The 22,019-nt window shown below is 46.5% G+C and overlaps 1 protein-coding gene across 26 annotated transcripts in view, besides 1 other annotated feature; it reads left to right on the top strand.

Annotated features, from left to right (window-relative positions):
• The window catches only part of IP6K2 (inositol hexakisphosphate kinase 2), a 29,219-nt gene that overhangs the window by 6,026 nt on the left and 1,174 nt on the right, over positions 1-22,019 (top strand). For 6 of the 26 annotated variants that reach the window (NM_001005909.3, XM_006713200.2, XM_024453571.2 and 3 more), the window contains 4 exons: positions 15,778-16,106; positions 18,017-18,242; positions 19,714-19,889; positions 21,483-21,658. In NM_001005909.3, coding sequence (NP_001005909.1) covers positions 15,905-16,106; positions 18,017-18,242; positions 19,714-19,889; positions 21,483-21,658 — 780 coding nt within the window. In that variant the 5' untranslated portion in view covers positions 15,778-15,904. Of the gene's footprint in view, positions 1-15,774; positions 17,927-18,016; positions 18,243-19,713; positions 19,890-21,482; positions 21,659-22,019 lie in introns of those variants that run through there. The other 20 variants (NM_016291.4, XM_006713199.5, XM_024453568.2 and 17 more) reach the window with 11 other exon arrangements.
• Positions 15,343-15,932: an enhancer, noted in NCBI's record as "H3K27ac-H3K4me1 hESC enhancer chr3:48732697-48733286 (GRCh37/hg19 assembly coordinates)". NCBI's record gives its function as "activates a minimal SCP1, AML or CMV promoter by ChIP-STARR-seq in naive H9 embryonic stem cells {active_cell/tissue: H9 hESC(naive)}" and the evidence as "EXISTENCE:reporter gene assay evidence [ECO:0000049][PMID:30033119]".

Below are 22,019 nucleotides of genomic sequence, written 5' to 3'. Positions count from 1 at the left end.
TTCATGCCCGTAATCCTGGCACTTCAGGAGGCTGAGGTAGGCGGATCATTTAATCCCAGGAGTTCGACACCAGCCTGGGCAACGTGGCGAAACCTTGTCTCTACTAAAAATAACAAAAAATTAGCTCGACATGGTGGCATGTGCCTGTAGTCCCAGCTACTTGGGAGGCTGAGATGGGAGAATTACTTGAACCCAGGAAGGCAAGGCTGCAGTGAGCTGTGATTACACCAACTGCGCTTCAGCCTGGGAGACGTGAGTGAGACCCTGTGTTAAAAAAACAAAAACAAGGCCAGATGCGGTGGCTCACGCCTGTAATCCCAGCACTTTGGGCGGCCGAGGCGGATGGATCACGAGGTCAGGAGATCGAGACCATCCTGGCTAACACGGTGAAACCCTGTCTCTACTAAAAATACAAAAAATTAGCCGGGCGTGGTGGTGGCCACCTGTAGTCCCAGCTGCTCGGAAGGCTGAGGCAAGAGAATGGCGTGAACCCGGGAGGCAGAGCTTGCAGTGAGCCGAGATCCCGCCACTGCACTCCAGCCTGGGCGACAGAGTGAGACTCCGTCTCAAAAAAAAAACTAAACTAATGAACATGAACAGCAGGACTGGGGCAGGTGAGGCCTGGGAAAGGTAAGGGACAGGACCCCTAGGATGATTTATCTCACGCTCAAAGACCGTTTTTACTTTGGAAAATAACTTAAGCTCCTTGTAATGAGCGAGAGAAGAGTAAGATGTTAAAACTGGAAGTACCTTGTTGACCTTCACTGCTGGTCCTGAAATGCAATCTTATTTTTACTTTTTTTAGAGACAGGGTCTCACTCTGTCACCCAGGCTAGAGTGCAGTGGCACAATCTCATAGCTCACAGTAACCTCAACCTTCTGGGCTAAAGTGATCCTCCTGCCTCAGCCTTCTGAGTAGCTAGGACTACAGGCGCATGCCACCAAGCCTGGCTAATTTTTAAAACATTTTTTGTGAAGACAGGGTCTCACTGTGTTGCCCAGGCTGGTCTCAAACTTCTGAGCTCTAGCAATCCTCCCGCCTCAGCTTCCCAAACTGCTGAGATTATAGGTGTGAGCCTCCGTGCCTGGCCTCAAATGCGTGCGATCTTGATTGACTGAATCCACTGCTTTCCTCACAAACTGGGTGATTCTGAAGAGATCAGTGTGACCTTTGCTTTGGAACTGTGAATGCAATTGAACTTGATTTCTGTAACAAAAATTTTAAAATATTTTTCTGGATCTTATTTTGGAGAGCTAACTCAGGACTTCTGAAGCATAATTGGCAGGTGTCTCTTTATTAGGACATAGTGCTGTGACTGGTGCAGTCTTTTTTTTTTAATTAATTAATTTTTTTTTTTTGAGATGGAGTCTCGCTCTCTTGCCCAGGCTGGAGTGCAGTGGTGCGATCTCGGCTCACTGCAAGCTCCGCCTCCTAGGTTCAAGTGATTCTCCTGCCTCAGCCTCCCCAGTAGCTGAGACTACAGGCACCTGCCACCACGCCCGGCTAATTTTTTTATTTTTAGTAGAGACGGGGTTTCACCATGTTAGCCAGGATGGTCTCGATCTCCTGACCTCGTGATCTGCCTGCCTTGGCCTCCCAAAGTGCTGGGATTACAGGCGTGAGCCACCGCGCCCAGCCTGACTGGTGTAGTCTTAAGACTTTTCTCAGAATCGTATCTCATTTTTTTCTGGGCTGGTCTGGAAGAACACTGACTGCACTCAGGCCAAGTGGGTTGGGTGATACAAGCTGCCAGATTGCTGCCACGAACCTGGAGTAGTTTGCAGACCCTTGCGAGGAGTATTTGTCTAAGCGAGATGTTGAAAGGACCCAGAGGAAATTGTCAGAGTTCCCTTGGTCGCAGGAACTAGTGCTGCATAGGGTACACTTTTGTTCCTGCTCCAGCAAATGCAGCACTCAGGTGCTTGCCTGGGCAGGTCCGGGATGCCCTGCCTCTGTGGCTGCCCATTGGGACTGAATCACTGTTGGCATCCCTTATTTCAGAGGATGAATTCATGTGTCATTTGGGTTTGGCAGTGAGCTAAGAGCTAAATGGGGTAAACATTGCCCACTGGCAGGAAACATATAATCTTGTCTGAAGCTAATGGACCGTTACTTTTTTGGTTGTTTGAGACAGTGTCTCGCTCTGTCACCGGGCTGGAGTATGGTGGTACAATCTCTGCTCACTATAACCTTGAGCTTTGCAGCCTCAAGTGATCCCTCCACCTCTGCCTCCCGAGTAGCTGGGACAACAGGCATGTACCACCACACCTGGCTGGTTATTTTTTGTAGAGACAAGGTCTCACTATTTTGCCAGGATTGTTCTCAAACTCCTGGGCTCAAACAGTCATCCTGCCTTGGCCTCCAAAGTGCTAGGATTACACGTGTGTGAGCCACCACACGGGCCCTATGGAACCATTACTTATTGGCATATGAAAGAACCATGACTCAAGGATTGCAAAAATCCCTCATAGATTGAGACCTGTAAGCAATTTTGGCTTTAGTCTGAGAGAGTTGCTTCTCTGTGTTCCTGTTGAGTTAGTTTCTTACAATGTGGTGGGAGACTGGAGACTGAGAATTGTTCTTGAAAAAGGGGTAACTGGCTTTTACAACAGAACTGAAAATTCCTGGTATGTGTATAGAATACATTCAGCTATTTGTAAGAAAATTTGGCCAGTTGACTCATGCCTTGTAATCCTAGCACTTGGAGAGACTAAGGCGGAAGGATCACTTGAGGCCAGGAGTTTGAGGCCAGCCTGGGCAACATAGTGAGCCCCCATCTCAAAATAAAGTTTGATATATTGATAAAGGGGACATATGAGACCTTAGAATCAATCATTGTTTTAGCGAGAAGCTTTTAAAATTGCTTAAATTCTTTATAATTCTAGCAGGTTATTCTGATAAACATATTTCTTTTTTATTATTTATTTATGTATTATTATTATTATTTTTTGAGACAGGGTCTCGCTCTGTCACCCAGGCTGGAGTACAGTCATGTGATCACGGCTCACTGCAGCCTTGACCTCCCAGGCTCCAGTGACCCTTCCATCTCAGCCTCCCAAGTAGCTGGGACCACAGGTATGCGCCATTGCACCTGGCTATTTTTTTTTAATTTTTATTTGGTAGAGACAGGGTGTCCCCATCTTGCCCAGGCTGGTGATACACATATTTCTCGGTAGACTGAAAGTTCCTTCTTCCTGTTCCCTTTACCTTGGAGCCCTCTAGTCTGTCATTCCAGAAACCTGGTCAGACGAGGCAGAGAGATAGGGCAGCTAGTTGTGCTGGTGGTTCTAGAAAGGAGAAGCAGCTGAGAGGCTACTGTGTCCCTTATGGAAAACCTGAGATTTGTCCAGATTTTTGGAACAATCTGCTGTTTTGGGGGAAGAAGCTACATTATTGTATGACTTTCATGTAATCACTCCAGTTAAAATCTGTGGTTTCTTCATTAAAACCAGAATGAGCCTGGGTGCAGTGGCTCACACCTGTAATCCCAGCACTTTGGGAGGCCAAGGGGGGCGGATCACCTGAGGCTGGGAGTTTGAGACCAGCCTGTCCAACATGGAAAAACGCTGTCTTTACTAAAAAATATATAAAAATTAGCCGGGCGTGGTGGCGCATGCCTGTAATCCCAGCTACTTGGAAGTCTGAGGCAGGAGAATCCCTTGAACCTGGGAGGCAGAGGTTGTGGTGAGCCGAGATCAGGCCATTGCACTCCAGCCTGGGCAACAAGAGCGAAACTCCATCTCAAAAGATAAAATAAAACCAGAATGAGATGCTATTGAGGGCTCTGACCTTCTAGCACCTTGTATACATCTTAAGGACAGTGCGTGTTGTGGTGTTGTGGTTGTTATTCTCACTTGGAGTGAAGCTCTGAGTACGAAGGGTGGGCCGGATCAGTGTTTGTTTCTAGGTGGATTTAAAACCATCAAGAGCCAGGCAGCCATCTGTGTTTTCCTGTTTCAATCTTGAATCCTCCTCTTCCCCCAGTATTTTCTCTCTCAGTTATAAAGGTAATGTGTGCTCAGAGTTGGAGGATATTATAAGTTTGAAACATTCAGAAAACTGAAAAGCGGGCAATCATGATCTTACCACCTAGTATAGGGCAGGTTTTGTGGTGTCTGAAGCTTATATAAAATAATATAAATATATGTAACATAAATACATAATTTGTAATTATACATGTAATTATAAATGCCATCTTTAAACAAAATAATGTACAATTATGATAACAAAATTAGGTAAGAAAGTGAATGTTTGTTTAGATTGAAAAAAATCACAAAAAGTTACACATTTAAAAATGCAGAAGAAAGTTCTATAGTACTTACCTCCCTACATTTTGGGGCAGCATTTTGACCACCGCTTTCTTTCTTTTTTATTTTTTTGGGGACAGGGTCTCATTTTGTCACCCAGGTTCACTGCAGCCTCAGCCTCCCAGGTTCAAGCTATTCTCCTGCTTCAGCCCCCCAAGTAGCTGGGACTATGGGCCCGTGCCACTACGCCCAGCTAGTTTTTGTATTTTTAGTGGAGATGGGGTTTTGCCATGTTGCTCAGGCTGGTCTTGAACTCTTGAGCTTAAGTGATCTGCCTCCCAAAGTGCTACTTTTACAAGCCTGAGCCACCGCACCTGGCCTGACCACCTCTTTCTATAATAGCAATATTACAACTGTCTGTAGAGAGAACAGAAGGGTCGCCATAGTCACTCCTCAAGGGTAATTGATCCTATCTTTTATTTCTTTATTTGGTTGTTTGACATAGGATCTCACTCAGTCATGCAGGCTGAAGCTCAGTGGTATGATTAGAGATCACTGCAGCCTCAGACTCCTGGGCTCAAGAGATCCTCCTGCCTCAGCCTCCTGAGTAGCTAGGGCTACAGATGTGCACTACCACAACTTGCTAATTTTTTTGTAGAGATAGGGTCTTGCTGTGTTGCCGAGGCTGGTCTTGAACTTTTGGCCTCAAGTGATCCTACTGTCTTGGCCTCTTTTTTTTTGAGATGGAGTTTCACTCTTGTAGCTCAGGCTGGAGTGCAATGGCGTAGTCTCGGCTCACTGCAACCTCCGCCTCCCGGGTTCAAGTGATTCTCCTGCCTCAGCCTCCAGAGTAGCTTGGAATATAGGCGCCCACCACCATGCACGGCTAATTTTTTGTATTTTTAGTAGAGACAGGGTTTCACCATGTTGGGCAGTGTGGTCTCAAACTCCTGACTTCAGGTGATCCACCTGCCTTGGCCTCCCAAAGTGCTGGGATTACAGGCGTGAGCCACTATGCCTGTCCTTCTGTTTTTTTTTATTTTATTTTATTTTATTATTTTTTATTTTTTTATTTTTTTTATTTTTTATTTTTTATTTTTATTTTTTGGTAGAGAGGGGTTTTTGCCATGTTGCCTAGGCTGGTCTCGAACTCCTGGGCTCAATCGATCCACCTACCTCAGCCTCTCAAAATGTTGGGATAACAGGCGTGAGCCACCACGCTTGGCCAAGCTGTAGTATATCCTTGAATAATTCTTTTAGAGAAGGCTTGTGAATAGCCTTTTTTTTTTTTTTAATAGACAGTGTCCTGCTCTGTCATCCAGGCTGGAGTGCAGTGGCATGATCATACCTCACAGAATTCTGGAACTCCTGCACTCCAGTGATCCTCCCACCTCAGTCTCCCCACCATGCCTGACTAATTAAAAAATTATTTAGAGACTGGCTGTCACTGTGCAGCTTGCCCAGTCTGGTCTCGATCTCTTGACCTCGTGATCCGCCCGCCTCGGCCTCCCAAAGTGCTGGGATTACAGATGTGAGCCACCGCGCCCGGCCCCATCTTCCTTCTTATAACTTAAAAGTTTATCAAAAGTGAGGCCTGGTGCAGTGGCTCATGCCTGTAATCCCAGCACTTTGGGAGGCTGACGCGGGCAGATCACTTGAGGCCAGTAGTTTGAGACCATCTTGACCAACACACTGAACCCAGTCTCTACTGGGTGGGGTGATTCACGCCTGTAATCCCAGCACTTTGGGAGGCTGAGGCAGCGGATCACGAGGTCAAGAGATTGAGACCATCCTGGCTAACACGGTGAAACCGCATCTCTACTAAAAAAATACAAAAAATTAGCCGGGTGTGGTGGCAGACGCCTGTAGACCCAGCTACTCGGGAGGCTGAGGCAGGAGAATGGCGTGAACCTGGGAGGCGGAGCTTGCAGTGAGCTGAGAATGCGCCACTGCACTCCAGCCTGGGCGACAGAGTGAGACTCCGTCTCAAAAAAAAAAATTAGAAAAATTAGCCGGGCACAGTGGCGCGTGCTTGTAATCTCAGCTACTCGGGAGGCTGAGGCATGAGAATCACTTGAACCTGGGAGGCAGAGGTTGCCGTGAGGTGAGATCATGCACTCTAGCCTGGGCAACAGAGCAAGACTCTCAGAGAAAAAAAAAAAGTGTATCATAAACGGCCCGGTGCGGTGGCACACGCCTCTAATCCCAGCACTTTGGGAGGCCAAGGCAGGAGGATCACTTGAACTCAAGAGTTCAAGACCAGCCTGAGCAACATAGCAAAACCCCGTCTCTACACAGAAATACAAAAATTAGCCAGATATGGTGGCGTGTGCCTATAGCTGTCCCAGCAACTTGGGAAGCTGAGGTGGGAGGATCACTTGAGCCTGGGTGGACAAGGCTGTGGTGAGCTGAGATTACGCCACTGCACTGCAGCCTTAACAATGGAGACCCTGTCTCAAAAAAAAAAAAAAGTGTATCATAAGCATTTTCTCCTGGTTAAAAAATATAAAATTGGTAAGAAAGCTCTTCATGCTATCCTAATAGTCCGTCATACAATTGAATGAAAAAAATATTTTTGTTTCATTCATCTCCTATTGCTGGATGTGGAGGCGAATGTGTTCATCATCAAGGATGATAGATGTCCTGATTTTATGGAGCAGTGGACTTGATTTTTATGGAGTTTTCCTGAGGTTGATGGTAGTTTGATGCCATGTACCCAGACAGGTCAATTTGGTGTTCCCCACAAGACATCCTTTCAGAGTCAGACATTGACTGTTTCCTTCCTGGCTTTATTTTACTAAAAATGCTTTTTAGTTTTTTATTGTTTGTTTTTTTCTTTTCTTTTCTTTTCTTTTTTGAGATAGAGTCTCACTCTGTTGCCAGGCTAGAGTGCAGTGGCGCAATCTCCGGTCACTGCAGCCTCTGCCTCCTGGGTTCAAGCAATTCTCCTACCTCAGCCTCCCAAGTAGCTGGGATCACAGGCATGTGCCACCATGCCTGGCTAATTTTTGTATTTTTTAGTAGAGACCGGGTTTCACCACGTTGGCTAGGCTGGTCTTGAACTCCTGGCCTCAAGTGATCTGCCCGCCTCTGCCTCCCAAAGTGCTGGGATTACAGGCATGAGCCACTGCTCCTGGCTGATAGTTTTTATTTTAAAAAATATTTTTATATTTATTTCCTCATCTCCATGGTTAGCAAGAGATATTTTTGTTTTGTTTTGTTTTGTTTTTTGAGACAGAGTCTAGCTCTGTGTCCCAGGCTGGAGTGCAGTGGTGCAATCTTGGCTCACTGCAAGCTCTGCTTCCCGGGTTCACGCCATTCTCCTGCCTCAGCCTCCTGAGTTGCTGGGACTATAGGCCCCTGCCACCATGCCTGGCTAATTTTTTTTTTTTTTTTTTTGTATTTTTAGTAGAGATGGGGTTTCACCGTGTTAGCCAGGTTGGTCTTGATCTCCTGACCTCGTGATCCACCCGCCTGGGCCTCCCAAAGTGCTGGGATTACAGGCGTGAGCCACCGTGCCTGGCCGAGATAATTATTTTTTAGTGACGATTTAGCAACCTGAAAACCTTGGGTCTTTGGGATATGACCTCAGTATCAACACAGAATATTTGAATGCTGGTTAATATATTTGTTTTAAACTGTGATAGAATTGAAATCTTGTAGCCACATTTTGAAAGTTTATTCTTCATTAACTAGTCTTTTCTCACCTGATTTTCTACAAGAGAGAATTTTCCAAAAGGTTAGTTGTCGTTACATTAAGAACTTGGGTTTTGTTTGACATGAAATGTTTCTACACCAGCAGGTCTCAGATGAATGTTCAGGCGTGGGTCCTTAATTTATACTCCCCAGTTAATGCAGACTTATAAGGTGGAAAATAATAAATGCAAAGTAAACTAATATTAGCCAGTGCTTGGAATGCATTTTGTAAAGTGTGCAGCAGGCCACATTTTAATAATTGTACTCACCATATGATTGGTGTGGATTTGGATGATGATTGCAGTGGGTGCCTTATGAGTTCTCTGCTGATCTGTATGCGTTAGGTATTCATGACACAGTAGTGATTTGAGGCACATTTTGTGGAGTGCCTACTTTATGCTGGTGCTCTTGTAGATCCTGGAGATTCAGCAGTGAATACTGCAGTCAAAAATCTGACCTTATGGAACTTGTTTTCAAGTGGAAATTGGGTGGGAGGAGACAATTAACAAGACAAGTAAGAAACGTAGAGTATGTCAGACGGTGATAAGTGCTGAGGAGAAAATAAAGCAGGGGTGCCCCAGGGAGTGGCACTCACTTTTAGATAGAGTGGCTGAAGATCCCATTAAAGAGATGACATTTGCTTAGCTAGCTGTGGTGGTGCACGCCTGTAGTCAGAGCTGCTCAGGAGGCTGAGGTGAGAGGATCACTTGAGCCCAGGAGTTTGAGGCTGCAGTGAGCCGTGATTACGCCACTGCACTTTTAGCCTGGGCAACAGAGCAAGACTCTATCTCAAAAAAAAAAAGGGGGGGTGACATTTGCACAAAGGGCTGAAGGAGGTTGAGAGAGTGAGCCAAGGGGGATATCTGGGGGAAGAACATATCAAGCAAAGGGAATAGCAAGTACAAAGGCCCTGAGGTACATGTGTATCAGGCATATTTGAGAAATAAGGAAGCCAGTATAATTGGGCCACATTTGATGTTGATATTTTTTCCTCTATGGATGCTTTATTTTATTTTTTTTTGACATGGAGTCTCGCTCTTTTGCCCAGGCTGGAGTACAGTGGTGCAGTCTTGGTTCACTGCAACCTCTGCCTCCTGGGTTCAAGCAATTCTCCTGCCTCAGCTTCCCAAGTAGCTGGGATTACAGGTGTCCACCACCATGTCCAGCTCATTTTTTAAAAATTTATTTATTTTAGTAGAGGTCAAGGCTGACCTTAGCATGAGTGATTCAAGATACTCAAAGTGAGGCAGATGAGTCCAAATAGAATGGATGCAAAAGGAAATTTCAGCCAATGAGTTTGTATGTAGAAACTATTGGACAATGAGTAGGATTTATTTTTATTTATTTATTTTTTTAGACGAAGTCTCGCTCTGTTGCCCAGGCTGGAGTACAGTAGTGCGATCTCAGCTCACTGCAACCTCCGCCTCCCGTGCTCAAGCGATTCTTGTGCCTCAGCCTCCCAAGCAGGTGGGACTACAGGCGCCTGCCACCACGCCTAGCTAATTTTTTGTATTATTAGTAGAGACGGGGTTTCATCATGTTGGCCAGGCTAGTCTCGAACTCCTGACCTCAAGTGATCACCTGCCTCGGCCTCCCAAAGTGCTGGAATTACAGGTATGAGTCAGCGCACCCAGCAGGATCTTTTTAAGTATAATCTTTTTTTTTTTTTTTTTTTTTTTTTTTTGAGACGGAGTCTTGCTCTTGTCGCCCAGGCTGGAGTGCACTGGCACGATCTCGGCTCACTGTAGCCTCCACCTCCTGGGTTCAAGTGATTCTCCTGCCTCAGCCTCCCGAGTAGCTGGGATTACAGGCGCCTGCCACCACGCCCAGCTACTTTTTGTATTTTTAGTAGAGACAGGGTTTCGCCATGTTGGTCAGGCTGGCCTCGAACTTCTGAGCTCAGGCAATCCGCCCGCCTCAGCCTCCCAGGGTGCTAGGACTATAGGCATGAGCCACCACTCCTGGCCAGCATAATCTTTTCTGATTATTAAAATAATACATACTTATGGGCCAGGCGCAGTGGCCTGTAATTTTTTGTATTGTTAGTAGAGATGGGGTTTCACCATGTTGACCAGGCTGGTTTCAAACTCCTGACCTCAAGTAATCCACCCGCCTCGGCCTCCCAAAGTGCCAGGACTACAGGCGTGAGCCACCGCGCCCAGCCACGTTGTCATTCCACTTAGTTAAACACCTAGGAGTGGGATTGCTATGTATATAATAAGTATATGTTTAACTTTATAAGAAACTGCCAGACTGTTTTCCAAAGTGGCTTTGCATTGCTACCAGCAATGTATGAGGCATTGCATAATTAACCCTGGCTTGTATATGAATGTGTACCAGGCAGATGCTGGGTGGTGGCTCTGGAACACACAGGAGGTATGGGTGGTAAGGGTTGTTTTTCCACCATCAGTATAGTGTGCCTTATGCCACCCCTCTGTGACTGCCTGACCCTGGGGCTTTTCTTAAGCCAGAGTAAGTAGCCCCAGTGGATCCCATTTTGTAGCCTCTTTAACTAAATTCTGGATGAGTGAACTAAGGACCCAGGGGCTTTCATGAGTCATAGCCATTTTATTTGCATTACTTTAAAAGTTAAGAATATTAAGGCATTGTTTCCAACAGATCCTTAAACCAATTTGATAGATTTGGGGGAGGGACTGAGTGGGAAAACTGTATGCTGTGCTAGGATGGATGTTCTGTGTTTCTTACCTGTTCATAGTTTCATGGACAAATGTGAGGCAATGTGGAAAGCTAAAATAGATGCTAAATCTGAAGCCAGTATTTTGCAGTTATTTCCTGTCTTTCTAGGTACTGGGCCCACACATTGCATGGGCTTTATCGTAACCATTAATTTTCCAGCCTTCCAGGGAAACAGCTTTAGACCTTAGAGATCACACTGCTCAAAAAGAGAGAGAGAGAAACAGGTGACATGGAGATTGGTGCTTTGGGGCTTTTCTTTCTTCTGGTGTAGTTGAGGCTCCTAGGGAGGAAGCTGATTTGCTTTGTAATCTTTGGAAAATTGATCCTTCATTTCCTTGCAGAGATAGGGGCTGTGAGGGACCCTAGAACAGAAGTGCCACTTCTTTGCAACTCCAAATGTGAGAAGTATGTTTTACAGTAAAACCATACTTATGTTCATATTGAGAGATTGAACATAATTAAAACAAAAGGATCAAAAAGCAAGACTTACTATGTGCAATGCATTGATATTTTGTTTATTATTATTTTATAGAGTTGAGGTCTCACTACATAGCCCAGGCTAGTCTCGAATTCCTGAACTCAAGCAATCTTCCCATCTTGGCCTCCCAAAGTGCTAGGATTACAAGGAGTGAGCCACTGTACCCAGCCATATTTTGTTGTATTCTGTTTAATTTTTTTAAAAAACTACTAGTTACCACTCACTAACTTGCTTACACAACCCACAGAGTAGAGATCTACTCTAAGCCTCTCTTTTCCCATTTTACAGACCGTAAAACGAACCCAAAGGGAGCCATGGACTTGGAGTCTTTCTCCACGCTATTGAGTAGCAGAACTGGTACTAAAATGTGGCTCCACCTCACTACAGGATGGTCAATTGTTTCCCTAATTCTGCCTCACATTTGGAAGTTTCTTATCAGACTTGGCTCAGGCAAGGATGAGCCTGATTTTTCCTATCTTTCTACCCAAAATGATGATGATTTTCCCAAGAGCAGCAACCTATGGACCGCCAGAGATGGATGCAAGAGGAAGGGTGATAAGGTGGCACATCATGCCCAGCAGCTAATTAACACTCTGGAGAAGAGAAGTTGGAGACCCTCACTGGGCCTTTTGGCCTCCAGCTACGTTTTTTTTGTTGTTGTTTTTTGTTTTTTTTTTGAGATGGAGTTTTGCTCTTGTTGCCCAGGCTGGAGTGCAGTGGCTCACTGTAACCTCTGCCCCCCAGATTCAAGCGATTCTCCTGCCTCAGCCTCCCGAGTAGCTGGGATTACAGGCATGCGCCACCACACCCAGCTGATTTTGTATTTTTAGTAGAGACAGCATTTCTCTATGTTGGTCAGGCTGGTCTCGAACTCCAGACCTCAGGTGATTCCACCCGCTTAGGCCTCCCAGAGTGCTGGAATTATAGGTGTGAGCCACCACGCCCGGCCCCAGCTATGCTCTTGAGCCACACTCTAGAGACGCCATGAAGGACTGTTTTTGTTTATTTTCGTTGGAGGTGGGGATGGGTAAGACATACCTACACAGAGTTATTTTTCTACGTAACTGAGTACATTTAAGGAATCCTGAGCAGAGTTGATAAGGGATTTGCATTGTTGTTAGCATTGCTGTGATAGCAAAAGACAGGGTCTTACTCTGTCACCCAGTCTGGAGTGCAGTGGCTCAGTCATGGCTCACTGCAGCCTCAATGTCCTGGGCTCAAGTGATCCTCTTGTTTCAGCCTCCTGAATAGCTGGGACTCCAGGCATGCACCACTACACCTAGCTGAGTTTTTTAAAAATTTTGGGCTGGGCACGGTGGCTCATGCCCATAATCCCAGCACTTTGGGAGGCCAAGGCGGGCAGATCAATTAAGGTCAGGATTTCGAGACCAGCCTGGCCAACATGGCGAAACCCCATCTCTACTAAAAATACAAAAAAATTAGCCAGGCGTGGTGGCGTGCGCCTATAGTCCTCAGCTTCTCGGGAGGCTGAGGCACGAGAATCGCTTGAACCTGAGCGGCAGAGGTTGCAGTGAGCCAAGGTCGCGCCACTGCACTCCAGCCTGGGCAACAGAGCAAGACTCCATCTCAATTAAAAAACAAAAAAATTGTAGAGATGGGGCTTACTATGTTGTCAACTCCTAGTCTCAAGTGATCTCCTACCTTGGTCTCCCAAAGTGCTGGGATTATAGGCATGAGCCACCATACCTGGCCTGGATTGTGTTTCTAAAGCCTGGCCCATGAGGAGCATCTTGTGCTTTAACAATTCATAATTATGGTACCTGACATGTGCTTTAGTACTGGTCGGCGGACCATGAATCAGTAGCTTCTTTTGGTATTACTCTTATTCAAAAGGTCTTTTCAGTAGACTAGTGTCAACCAGTCTGCATAGACCTAGAGAAAAGGCTTGTGTGGCCAGACTTCTCAGAGCTCCATCTTCTGGATAGAGCCTGGAATGGTTAGAATGTACTCATATTTACAGTTCCATTGCCTGTGTTGAGTTTCTGGACTCTTCTCAATACGTGCCTTCCTGGAGGCTTTTGTGGTGATGAGAAGGTAGTGCCAAGTAATCAGAACCTTAGGTTTAGATTCTCTGCTCTTTGCATATGGGAAAACTTACTGATTCCTAGCCATTGAGTTCAGTTGAGGCCCATAGTCGGGTACTCTCTAAAAGGAAGAGATTAACACCAGTTTAAACTCTTTAAAAGAGGCTGCTTTATAAATAGAAAATATTAGTTAGGCGTGGTGGCATGCACCTGTAGTCCTAGCTGCTTGGGAGGCTGAGACAGGCAGATCCCTTGAGCCCAGGAGTTTGAGGGTGTTTTGAGCTATGATCGTGTCATTGCACTCCAGCCTGGGCGACAGAGTGAGACCCTGTTGACTTTTTTTTAAGAAAACAGTAAAACGTTTAATTTTTTTAAGAAAAAATTAAAAATTGGCCAAGTGCAGTAGCTCACATCCATAGTCCCAGCACTTTGGGAGGCCAGGGTGAGCAGATCACCTGAGGTTAGGAGTTCAAGACCAGTCTGGCCAACATGGTGAAACCCTGTCTCTACTAAAAATACAAAAAAAAAAAAAAAAAAAAAAAATAGCCAGGCATGGTGGGTGCCTGTAGTCCCAGCTACTTGGGAGGTTGTGGCAGGAGAATCGCATGAGACTGGGAGGCAGAGGTTGCAGTGAACTGAGATCACACTTCAGCCTGGGCGACAGAGCAAGACTCCATCTAAAAAAAAAAACAAAACAAAATGAAAAAACAACTGGCCGGGCGCGGTGGCTCACGCCTGTAATCCAGCACTTTGGGATGCTGAGGTGGGCGGATCACGAGGTCAGGAGATCAAGACCATCCTGGCTAACATGGTGAAACCCCGTCTCTACTAAAAATACAAAAAATTAGCCGGGTGTGGTGGCGGGCGCCTGTAGTCCCAGCTACTCAGGAGGCTGAGGCAGGAGAATGACGTGAACCTGGGAGGCGGAGCTTGCAGTGAGCCGAGATCTCGCCACTGCACTCCAGTCTGGGTGACAGAGCGAGACTCCATCTCCAAAAAAAAAAAAAAAAGTAAAAATTCAGCTGGGCAGTGCCAGATATCATGTGCCCTAGAGGCAGCTGTATGGGGTTCACTTGGGAGAAGTGGCTTATTGTCTCTGGCCCTGGGTGAATTTCCTAACCATCTCTAATCACCTTCATTGTTTGCAACAGGGATAGTAGTGTCTACCTCAAAGAAAGTGTCAGGACCAAATGACATAAGAAATTCCTGTCATGAGCCTGATACATAATAGGTGCTTTCCCCACATTAGAGGACAGAGGGCACATCTCTTCCAGATCCATCCTCACTCCTCTCTCAGTTAGAGTCATGGGAACTGAAGGAGTTCCCAGTAAAATCCCTGTACAGATACTGAAATGTAACTCAAGCCCTGTAAGTAATGCTAGTAGAGACTGTCTAATTTGTAAATTAGACAAAACAGATAATGAGTGTGAGATGGCCTGAACTGGTTAACAGGGTGCATCCAAAAATGTGCTTCGTTGATGCGGCATCCAGTGCATGGCTGAGTGAGTGGATGCGAGCTCTGATTGCCCCAAGAGCATAACTTTGGTTTAAAGGTGTGTACCAGCTTTTGGTGATCAGGATAGAACTGATAAAAATAGTGACCTAGAACACTGTGTATCTTTTTAAATGGAGTTAACCAGCCTTGATCAGTTGTTTTTAGATACAGATGTTAATCATTAAAGCTAGACCCAAGCTCCATTGCTAACAAGGTTAATGGGGCTCGTCTTTGGCCTTGGGCAGGAGCAGTGTGGGTAGACAACCTGGACAAGTAAATAATGAGTCTTACTAGATAATGAGTAAGCAGGTTTTCCCTGTATTTAAATGCATTTTATAAAAATATAATTAATGGGGCTGGGTGCGGTCGCTCACACCTGTAATCCCAGCACTTTGGGAGACCGAATGGGCAGATCATGAGGTCAAGAGATCAAGACCATGCCAGCCAACGTGGTGAAACCCCGTCTCTACTAAAAATACAAAAATTAGCTGGGTGTGGTGGTGTGCACCTGTAATCCCAGCTACTCGGGAGGCTGAGGCAGGAAAATGGCTTGAACCCTGAGAGGCGGAGGTTGCAGTGAGTCGAGATTGTGCCACTGCACTCCCGCCTGGCGATAGAGTGAGACTCCATCTCAAAAAAAAATTATATATATTAAAAAATTATATATATATATTTATTTTATATATATAATATATATTATATATAATATATAAAATTAATGGGAGACCTGGGCATCATCCACTTAAAGCTTGACACTCTTATTAGAAAATGGTAAGATTTAATCCAAATATTAGGCTTGAAATTGTGATTTCACCTCACCATGGCATCAGTTTTGCCTGCGGCAGTGGCTTTCTAACACCGTAGTGGGACCTCTGCCTTTTTAGGGCCCCTGAACCCATTCCCTGCCTGTCTGCATCTAACCCCGCCCCATGAGCTCATAGTGTTTTTGTTTTTCTGCCGGAGAAGGCGGGGGCCAAGGTGGGTGGCATGGGCGGAGTCCCGCAAGAACTCAGACTGTTTGTCTTTGTCTTTCTGCTGAAGGAGCAGGGTGAGCAGCTCTAAGGCACTTCCCACGCTACTTCGAACCCCCATGTCATCATTTTGTTTGCTTCCAGCAGAGCATCCTGGCCAGAACAAGCCAAGGAGCCAAGACGAGAGGGACACACGGACAAACAACAGACAGAAGACGTACTGGCCGCTGGACTCCGCTGCCTCCCCCATCTCCCCGCCATCTGCGCCCGGAGGATGAGCCCAGCCTTCAGGGCCATGGATGTGGAGCCCCGCGCCAAAGGCGTCCTTCTGGAGCCCTTTGTCCACCAGGTCGGGGGGCACTCATGCGTGCTCCGCTTCAATGAGACAACCCTGTGCAAGCCCCTGGTCCCAAGGGAACATCAGTTCTACGAGACCCTCCCTGCTGAGATGCGCAAATTCACTCCCCAGTACAAAGGTAAGTCCCAGCTGCTGGAGGGGTTGCCACACTGGCGAGGAGATGTGAGAGATCGTGGCCATGGAAGGCCCTGGCAGCCATCCCTGGAGCCCTCACTCCCTCCCACTCTGTGCTTTCCCTCCCTCTCCTCCTTCTCCTCCTCCTGGCCCTCAGCCCAGCATCTCACACCCTCAGTTTTCAATCCCTGGTAAGATTGCTCAATTCTGTTTTGTTGTGTGGATTTGAGTTTGATTTTGGTAGAAGTGTAGTTGTGTTTTATGTTCAGGTGTCTCTTGATCACAGTAACCCATAGTCCCCCACTGGGGGGACGGTGGGGGAAGACTTTGGGAGGATTTTACCCAGAATACTTGCCGCCTGCTTTTTGTCCTCCAGGAAACCAGAAGCCCGGGTAATTAGGTAGGCCGGGGAGCAGCGTTGAGTCAGATGGAATGCAGGAGTGGGAGGCCTGTGCTGATTAGCCCAAGCCCTTTGCTGTTACAGAATGTCCCCAAAATTGCTATATGAAAGCAACCCTTCGATTCACATATGATAATTTTTTATTTCTTTTTATAATGTATTTTATAGGGGACATCAGCAGCCACCAGCATGGTGGGGTCTTTGTTGGGGAGTGGGGGAGTCTTTTGTAAATCAAGTAAGAATCCATTAAAGAAATTAATTTTAAATGTGCATTACCTGGTTACATAAAGGACTCTAGAACAACTTAGGTTCTTTTGGGACTGTTGAAACATTGTCTTTAAGGACAGAATGTACTGGGTGCCTTTCTCTGTACTCTGAATATGCATGTGTATTGCGGTGGGGATGGGGGAGTTGGGGGCCCTCACTTGGTCCTTCTCTGTTGTTTTTTTCCAGGACAAAGCCAAAGGCCCCTTGTTAGCTGGCCATCCCTGCCCCATTTTTTCCCCTGGTCCTTTCCCCTGTGGCCACAGGGAAGTGTGGCCTGAATACCCCACCCCGGCTCCTCTGCACCCAGAGCTGGGGGCCACCTCAGAAGTGTCATCTCTCTCTGAGCACGCATTCCCCTGCAGCAGTCGAGGACTGAGCAGATTGAGTGATGCTGGGGCAGAGAGGCCTGGGAGGAAAGGTGTTCAGCCAGTCGTTTGTAAGGCGCTCGTCGGCACCTGCTGAAACGCCCCCACCTGACAGCCCCATCCTCAAAGACTGTCTTAATTACTCATGGCAGGTTCTAGAGACTTAAGGGGAAAAGCTGCTTTCAAGGCCACCACATGTCTGTGCTCCCCAACCAGCTCTATCTGCCTTGTGTTCATTTTGTTATTTTGTGACGTGAGACTGCAAAGACCAATAAAAACATATTTTATAAGAACAAAAGGCCTGGGTGCCTACCCGTGTGGGGGCACTGTGGGAAGCCTTTGCTAGGGTGTCTTGTGCTGTGTGGTTTGTTTTGTTTGCCCCTTTATTTTGCTTTGCTTACCCAGTCTTCCCTTACTCTTGGATGCTTCTTAACCCTCAGGCAAACCTGTGTTCCCCCTGTATTCAGGCTCTGCTTTAAAGCAAGCCATGAGGCTGTTGGAGTTTCTGTTTAGGGCATTAAAAATTCCCGCAAACTATAAAGAGCAATGTTTTCAGTCTTTTAGGATTAGAAGAATTACATAAAAATTAATAAACATTTTCAATGATGGAAAAATGTGTCTTGTAATTCTTTGGCTCTTGCCTCGTTGAGTACATCAGAGAGGAAGACTCTCAGCCATGTTTGCTCCCTAATTGCTTGTCTTGTATGGTGTCATCTTTTCTAGCTGTTTTGATATTTGTTAAGTTTGCAGATGAGTTTGGGGCCTCTGGCAACATAGAGACTAAGGAACTGGGTAAGAAAAAAACAAATGTTACAATCATGTTACTTACAACGCTTCTTCCTGCTAAATTAAAAGTTCTTTCTGCTCCTCACCCCCTTCCAGGTGTGGTATCTGTGCGCTTTGAAGAAGATGAAGACAGGAACTTGTGTCTAATAGCATATCCATTGAAAGGGGACCATGGAATTGTGGACATTGTAGATAATTCAGACTGTGAACCAAAAAGTAAGCTCCTAAGGTGGACAACAAACAAAAAACATCATGTCTTAGAAACAGAAAAGACCCCTAAGGACTGGGTGCGTCAGCACCGTAAAGAGGAGAAAATGAAGAGGTGAGTGTAGACAGAGGGCAACTCTGGGCTATGTGGGAGGGGAAGTGTTGGGGGTTTTGGTTACAGCCCAGTTCCCTGGAGCTAAGGACTGAAGTGGATTTAGTAGGTACCTTGTCATTCAGTGGCTAATTCCCACATGGCATACTCAGCCTCTCTTTGTTTAATTGACTCTGGTTAGATCATGCCAGTTTGGGCAAACAGCTGCACTGGCAGCTGTAAGAGATTCACTCACTCTTCTATGACTGCTCTGTGCTAGGCTGTGTTCTGGAGATGTAGCAGTGACTAAGAGAGGAGCCATCCTTTTACCTCAGGTTGTTCACCAGTGGTGGGGGATGAAATGAGCAGTTGGGCATCCCTGAAACTCAGCAATCCCCCTAAGCAGGGCCATCCTACCCTTGCACCTTGGCAAAGCTTGTGAAAATATAAATAGTATATATAAAGTAAAGTACATGTAATGTAGCTAAGTAGGTTGACGTAGTCCCATGGAATTTCAGTTCCTATTTTCCCAGTTGCCAGCTTTTGGAGTCAGGGGAACCTGGTTGTACTGGAGGCTAGGTGGTACCACTGCCTAGAAGAGGGCAGTGAAGGCTCTCCACATACAGGGCTGGGGAGCAGGGGCTGATCTTGGATCTTAGGTTCTTTTTGCTGTAGAAAATAGTGGTTGACTGGTCCCTTAATTTTATTTTCTAAAATCAACTTTCTTGAGGTATACATGTGGTAAAATGCACCCATTTGGAGTGTTCAGAGAGTTTTGGCAGATGTTTACACGGTAAGCCACCACCACATCAAGAAGTCACTTTTCATTACTGTAGAAAGTTTCTGGCCGGGTGCGGTGGCTCATGCCTGTAATCCCAGCACTTCAGGACGCCAGGGCGGGCGGATCACCTGAGGTCAGGAGTTCGAGACCAGCCTGACCAATATGATGAAACCCTGTCTCTCCTAAAAATACAAAAATTAGCCCGGTGTGGTGGCATGCGCCTGTAGTCCCAGCTGAGACAGGAGAATCTCTAGAACCGGGAGGCGTAGGTTGCAGTGAGCTGAGATCGCACCATTGCACCTGGGCAATAAGAGCGAAACTCCATCTCAAAAAAAGAAAAAAAAGAAAGTTTCTGGATTTTATTTATTTATTTATTTATTTATTTATTTATTTTTTGAGTCTTTCTTGTTCTGTTGCCCAGGCTCTGGAGTGCAGTGGCACGATCTTCTAGGCTCACTGCAACCTCTGCCTCCCAGGTTCAAGTGATTCTCCTGCCTCAGCCTCCCGAGCACACCACCACGCCTGGCTAATTTTTGTATTTTTAGTAGAGACAGGGTTTCACCCTGTTGGCCAGGCTGGTCTCCAACTCCTGATCTCAAGTGATCTGCCCATCTCGGCCTCCCAAAGTGCTGGGATTACAGGCATGAGCCACCATGCCCGGCCTTCTGAATTCTGATAAGACATACTGATTTATTGGTCCTTATCTCTTTATAGCCATAAGTTAGAAGAAGAATTTGAGTGGCTAAAGAAATCTGAAGTCTTGTACTACACTGTAGAGAAGAAGGGGAATATAAGTTCCCAGCTTAAACACTATAACCCTTGGAGCATGAAATGTCACCAGCAACAGTTACAGAGAATGAAGGAGAATGCAAAGCATCGGAACCAGTACAGTATCCTTTGTTCACGGGCATCTCTGCATTTGAGGGTAAGAGGAGAGGAAATGAGGAAGTCCCTTGGAGCTTGGAGAGAGAAGTTAGGTTTTTATAGTCATGGTTGAGTTTCTCCTACCTGGGTTATTCCAGGACCTGTATGATAATTATGGGCAAATAATCACTTCCCTCAGGGCAGCTACTGGCCTAGGAGTGCAGATGATGAGGAGTGGGGTATAATGGGTTTCTGGGAGGTGAGGGGTGCCTCATGAAGGGGCCAGCTTGCATCAGGTGGGCTTTAGCCTAGGTAACCTAGAGGAAGAGGGCAAGGAGCTGCTCCCTGTTTTCAGACTTTTCAGAAGTCTGAAAACATTGCTCACCTGCCAAGGGCTGGGGTGTTTGGGTGAGGAGACTGACCTGATCAGTCCTGGTTCACCAGACCACCACTGGGACATGAGCTGTGCATAAGGAAATATTTGTTTTCTTTTCTCTTTTCTTTTTTTCCTCTCTCTCTCTTTTTTTTCTTTTTTTTTTTTTTTTGAGACAGAGTCTTGCTCGTCCCCCAGGCTAGAGTGCAGTGGTGTGATCTCAGCTCACTGCAACCTCCGTCTCCCAGGTTCAAGCGATTCTCATGCCTCAGCCACCCAAGTAGTTGGGATTACAGGCATCCGCTACCACGCCTGGCTCATTTTTGTATTTTTAGTGGAGACAGGGTTTCACCATGTTGGCCAGGCTGATCCAAACTCCTGACCTCAGGTGATCCACCTGCTTTGGCCTCCCAAAGTGCTGGGATAACTGGCATGAACCACCACGCCCAGCCCTCTTCCTCCCTGCCCCTCCCCTCCCCTCCCCTTTGTAGAGGTAAGGTCTCACTGTGTTGCCCAGGCTGGTCTCAAACTCCGGGGCTCAAGTGATCCTCCTGCCTCAGCCTCCCAAAATGTTGGGATAACAGGCGTGAGCCACCACGCCTAGCCTTTTATCTATTTTTTGGTCTCTTAAAAATGTAAAAACCATTCCTAGCTTATAGGCCATAAACAGCAAGCACTGGGCCATAGTTTACCAGTTTCTGCTGTTGGGAGCACTGATTCCTTGAATGGGAAATAATGAGTCAATGGTCTGTGCACCAGAGACACTCATTATTTCTGGTTATTGTTTCTAGACCTTTTTAGTGCACACAGCTGAGAAGCAGACGTTTAAAGAGCAAAGTATTTTCATGAGTTTATACTGATATTTCCAGTTCACATTTAAGGCTACAGGATTTACTGAACTTTCTTGATGTTCTACTTGTAATTGAGGACTTTGTTTTTGGACCCTAGTCCTACACTTAGCTAAGAGTTCAGAAGATGGCATGTGTGTCTCCCAGGCAGGAAGAGCCTAGGCCTCTGTTGAGTCCGGGTGCAGGCTGCTTCCACGTCAGTTCCCTGACAAGAAGTAAAGGTGTCTCTTAGCTTTATAGTCAGCTCTGGACTCCCTGTGTCGGGGATGGCAGGACTAATGGAGTCTCCTGTGGGTTCAGGCTTCTCTGGGTCACTGCATCAAGGCACTGTACCTTGAGAGTGCCAAGGACCCATGCAGTAGCACTTCCTTTTGGGGGTATTATTCTTAACTACTCAGAATTTATCTTACTGGAAAACCTGACTTCCCGCTACGAGGTGCCTTGTGTCCTTGACCTCAAGATGGGCACACGACAACATGGTGATGATGCTTCAGAGGAGAAGGCAGCCAACCAGATCCGAAAATGTCAGCAGAGCACATCTGCAGTCATTGGTGTGCGTGTGTGTGGCATGCAGGTGAGGGGGATGCTAGGGCTGGCTAGGGCATCCAGTGGCTGTCACTTCCCCACCCTGGTATAGTCCTGTTTGCTCAAAAGATTCCAGGCCAGGTGCAGTGGCTCACACCTGTAATCCCAGCACTTTGGGGGTCAAGGTGGGTGGATCACCTGAGGTCAGGAGTTAGAGACCAGCCCAGGCAACATGGCGAAACCCTGTCTCTGCTAAAAATACAAAAATTGGCTGGGCGTGGTGGTGCACGGCTGTAATACCAGCTACTTGGGAGGCTGAGGCATGAAAACAGCTTGAACCCAGGAGGCAGAGGTTGCAGTGAGCTGAGATCACGCCATTGCACTCCAGCCTGGGCGACGGCGAGACTGTC

This window comes from Homo sapiens, chromosome 3 (genome assembly GCF_000001405.40).
Source record: "Homo sapiens chromosome 3, GRCh38.p14 Primary Assembly".
NCBI lineage: Eukaryota > Metazoa > Chordata > Mammalia > Primates > Hominidae > Homo > Homo sapiens.
The sequence above is the reverse complement of the archived record's forward strand: the minus strand, read 5'-3'. Positions and strand labels throughout refer to the sequence as shown.